This window comes from Homo sapiens, chromosome 21 (assembly GCF_000001405.40).
Source record: "Homo sapiens chromosome 21, GRCh38.p14 Primary Assembly".
Classification (NCBI taxonomy): domain Eukaryota; kingdom Metazoa; phylum Chordata; class Mammalia; order Primates; family Hominidae; genus Homo; species Homo sapiens.
Genome location: NC_000021.9, coordinates 46,282,415 through 46,286,341, shown reverse-complemented (window position 1 = coordinate 46,286,341; position 3,927 = coordinate 46,282,415). Strand labels below are relative to the sequence as shown.

At 48.3% G+C, this 3,927-nt stretch overlaps 1 protein-coding gene across 4 annotated transcripts in view, besides 1 other annotated feature; it reads left to right on the top strand.

The window, feature by feature from the left end:
* The window catches only part of MCM3AP (minichromosome maintenance complex component 3 associated protein), a 51,133-nt gene continuing 47,282 nt past the window's right edge, over positions 77-3,927 (top strand). Inside the window, exons 1-3 of one of the 4 annotated variants that reach the window (XM_005261205.5) lie at positions 77-191; positions 948-2,274; positions 2,504-2,727. In XM_005261205.5, the coding sequence (XP_005261262.1) occupies positions 1,056-2,274; positions 2,504-2,727 (1,443 nt within the window). In that variant the 5' untranslated portion in view covers positions 77-191; positions 948-1,055. Of the gene's footprint in view, positions 644-730; positions 2,275-2,503; positions 2,728-3,927 lie in introns of those variants that run through there. The other 3 variants (XM_005261204.6, XM_005261203.5, NM_003906.5) reach the window with 3 other exon arrangements.
* Positions 137-366: a silencer, noted in NCBI's record as "silent region_13417". NCBI's record gives its function as "represses an Ori minimal core promoter by ATAC-STARR-seq in GM12878 lymphoblastoid cells {active_cell/tissue: GM12878}" and the evidence as "EXISTENCE:reporter gene assay evidence [ECO:0000049][PMID:35858748]".

Below are 3,927 nucleotides of genomic sequence, written 5' to 3'. Positions count from 1 at the left end.
GTGGGGAGCGGAACCGGATCGCAGCGGGCGGGGCGGAATCCGGTAGTGCTGAGCGAACCGGAAGTCGGTCCGCGGCGTTTTCTGCCCGCGGTGCGCAGCGCTGAGTGTCGCGGCAGCAGCCTGTGCTTGCGCCTCAAGTCTTTCCGAGGGGCCAGTGGGCAGCGCGGGCCTCGGGGTCCTGGGGCGAGACGGTGAGCGTGGGGGCTGGGCCGGCGCCAGGGGCGCCGTTTCCTTCCCCCACGCAGCTCCGCGCGCCCGGGCCTCCACATCGTCGCTAACGGAGCGTTGCGGCGCCGGCGACCCCTGGCGAGCCCGGGGCGGGACAGTGGCCAGGCCGGCCTGGGCCCAGCGCGTGGCCTCCGCCGTTTCGGGCTGTGCTGGGTGGAAGATTAGGCTCCCCGGGCACGCCGTCCCCGCCGAGAGGCCTCAGCTTCGTGGCAGCGCCCTCGTCCTTCCAGCCCGCTCGAGGGTGGCCGCCAGGGCGCGATGAAGGAATGTGAGAAAGTGCTTAGCGCTCCAGCCGCTCCGAGGGAAGCCAGGTGGGAGGAGATCCCGAAACGCTAAGGTTTTGACAGCGTTACAGTGAATTCTCCGGCTGTAGAGATTGGAGGAAGTCGGGAGAAATTCGTCTCTAAGTTGTAAGGTGGAACAGCATTCATTTTCTTACTGCCAATGGAGGTTTTTCATGAATTTACTAACTCAGTAAAAAGATTCGGCTTTTTTTTTTTTAATCTTAAAGGATCACGCTTTAAACCTCTGTAACAAAGTAATTATTTGTACCACTCTCTACCCCACCCTCCAACAAAATAACCTATCGGCTCTCAGAAAATAATAACCCTTTGCCTGCCTTTGAAATAGTTATCCTTTTAGTATGACAGTGTTCAAAAATTCTTTTCTTAGACTTGTAGCAGAACATAGCTATGATGATCTGAATTTTTCTCTTTCAGCTTGTTCTAAAGACGAAGGGGAACTCCCTAGTGCTACAGGCTGTTTCAGGAAGCCAATTAATTTTGTACACATAATACTTAATTACCTTCTAATAATTGGAGCAGAAGATGAACCCAACTAATCCTTTCAGTGGGCAGCAGCCTAGTGCTTTTTCGGCGTCTTCTAGTAATGTAGGAACACTTCCATCTAAGCCGCCATTTCGATTTGGTCAACCTTCTCTTTTTGGACAAAACAGTACCTTATCTGGGAAGAGCTCGGGATTTTCACAGGTATCCAGCTTTCCAGCGTCTTCTGGAGTAAGTCATTCCTCTTCAGTGCAAACATTAGGGTTCACCCAAACCTCAAGTGTTGGACCCTTTTCTGGACTTGAGCACACTTCCACCTTTGTGGCTACCTCTGGGCCTTCAAGTTCATCTGTGCTGGGAAACACAGGATTTAGTTTTAAATCACCCACCAGTGTTGGGGCTTTCCCAAGCACTTCTGCTTTTGGACAAGAAGCTGGAGAAATAGTGAACTCTGGTTTTGGGAAAACAGAATTCAGCTTTAAACCTCTGGAAAATGCAGTGTTCAAACCAATACTGGGGGCTGAATCTGAGCCAGAGAAAACCCAGAGCCAAATTGCTTCTGGGTTTTTTACATTTTCCCACCCAATTAGTAGTGCACCTGGAGGCCTGGCCCCTTTCTCTTTTCCTCAAGTAACAAGTAGTTCAGCTACCACTTCAAATTTTACCTTTTCAAAACCTGTTAGTAGTAATAATTCATTATCTGCCTTTACCCCTGCTTTGTCAAACCAAAATGTAGAGGAAGAGAAGAGAGGACCTAAGTCAATATTTGGAAGTTCTAATAATAGCTTCAGTAGCTTCCCTGTATCATCTGCGGTTTTGGGCGAACCTTTCCAGGCTAGCAAAGCAGGTGTCAGGCAGGGGTGTGAAGAAGCTGTTTCCCAGGTGGAACCACTTCCCAGCCTAATGAAAGGACTGAAAAGGAAGGAGGACCAGGATCGCTCCCCAAGGAGACATGGCCACGAGCCAGCAGAAGATTCGGATCCTCTGTCCCGGGGCGATCATCCTCCAGACAAACGACCTGTCCGCCTGAATCGACCCCGGGGAGGTACTTTATTTGGTCGGACGATACAGGATGTTTTCAAAAGCAATAAGGAAGTAGGTCGTCTGGGCAACAAGGAGGCCAAAAAGGAAACTGGCTTTGTTGAGTCTGCAGAAAGTGACCACATGGCTATCCCAGGAGGGAATCAGTCTGTCCTGGCACCTTCCCGGATTCCAGGTGTGAATAAAGAGGAAGAAACTGAAAGTAGAGAGAAGAAAGAAGGTGAGCTCTGAAAATGTAGCACATAGAGTAAATCCTGCAGGCAGGTTTTCAATACGTTTCTCTGGGTGTTAGCTTGATTTTTCAGATAAATCTCCCATAAACATTAGGGATTCTAACATGTCATCGGAGCAGGTCTTACATCTGAAAATTTCCTCTGCTTCGACACAGTTGGTGCCTCCTGTTGTTGGAAACATCTGATGGTTTAAGTGTCCATTCTCTGAACCCCTAGATTCTCTAAGAGGAACTCCGGCGCGTCAGAGTAACAGAAGCGAGAGCACAGACAGTCTTGGGGGCTTGTCTCCCTCTGAAGTCACAGCCATCCAGTGCAAGAACATCCCTGACTACCTCAACGACAGGACCATTCTGGAGAACCATTTTGGCAAAATTGCTAAAGTGCAGCGCATCTTTACCAGGCGCAGCAAAAAGCTTGCAGTGGTACATTTCTTTGATCATGTGAGTACTCCCATCTTGCCATTTGTTACCCTAGATTTGAACCTTGTCACTTTAAAACCTGTTTTTTTTTTTTGGTCCCTCAGTTGTTTGCTTACTATAATATAGAGAAAGTACTCAAATATCTTATTAGCATAGGCTGGGATAGCACTATTTATTTCATAACTTGGCATATTCTAGGTCCCTACAGAATATAGTACTCTAGAAATGCTGGGAGAGTTGTTCTCATGAAGTGAAATTCTTCTGAAAGGCTTTAGAAATTCAGAAATTCTTCTGAAAGGCTCTAACCACATAGTACTTTTGGAAGTTGAGTTTTTTGGTTTTGTTTTTGTTTTATTTGGTCATAGAAGATGATCGCTGTAAACGTTCAAACAATACAGAAAAAGTGAAATTGGCCGGGCGTGGTGGCTTACGCTTGTAGTCCCAGCACCTGGGGAGGCCAAGGTGGGCGGATCATGAGGTCAGGAGATCCAGACCATCCTGGCTAACACGGTGAAACCCCATCTCTACTAAAAATACAAAAAATTAGCTGGGTGTGGTGGCTCGCGCCTGTCATCTCAGCTACTCGGGAGGCTGAGGCAGGAGAATTGCTTGAATCCGGGAGGCGGCGGTTGCAGTGAGCCGAGTTCGTGCCACTGCACTCCAGTCTGGGAGACAGAGCCAGACTCCGTCTCAAAAAAAAGAAAAAGAAAAAAAGTGAAATTCCCCTTGTCAGTCTGTCCTCTAGAGATAACTGCTTTGAAGCACTGGGTTTGTATCCTGACTTTAAATGTATGCATAATACTTTCTTTTTATTTATTTATTTATTTTTTTGAGATGGAGTCTTGCTCTGTCACCCAGGCTGGAGTGCCGTGGCATGATCTCGGCTCACTGCAAGCTCCACTTCCCGGGTTCACGCCATTCTCCTGCCTCAGCCTCCGGAGTAGCTGGAACTACAGGCGCCCGCCACCACACCCGGCTAATTTTTTTGTATTTTTAGTAGATACGGGCTTTCACTGTGTCAGCCAGGATGGTCTCGATCTCCTGACCTCACGATCTGCCTGCCTCGGCCTCCCAAAGTGCTGGGATTACAGGCGTGAGCCACTGCGCCCAGCCTAAATGTATGCATAATACTTTCTAGGGTGCAGTGAACGTGGACTGCTTATGTTATATAGCTTTATATCGTCACTATTTTTTCTGAGTATTCTCATAGACAAAATTACG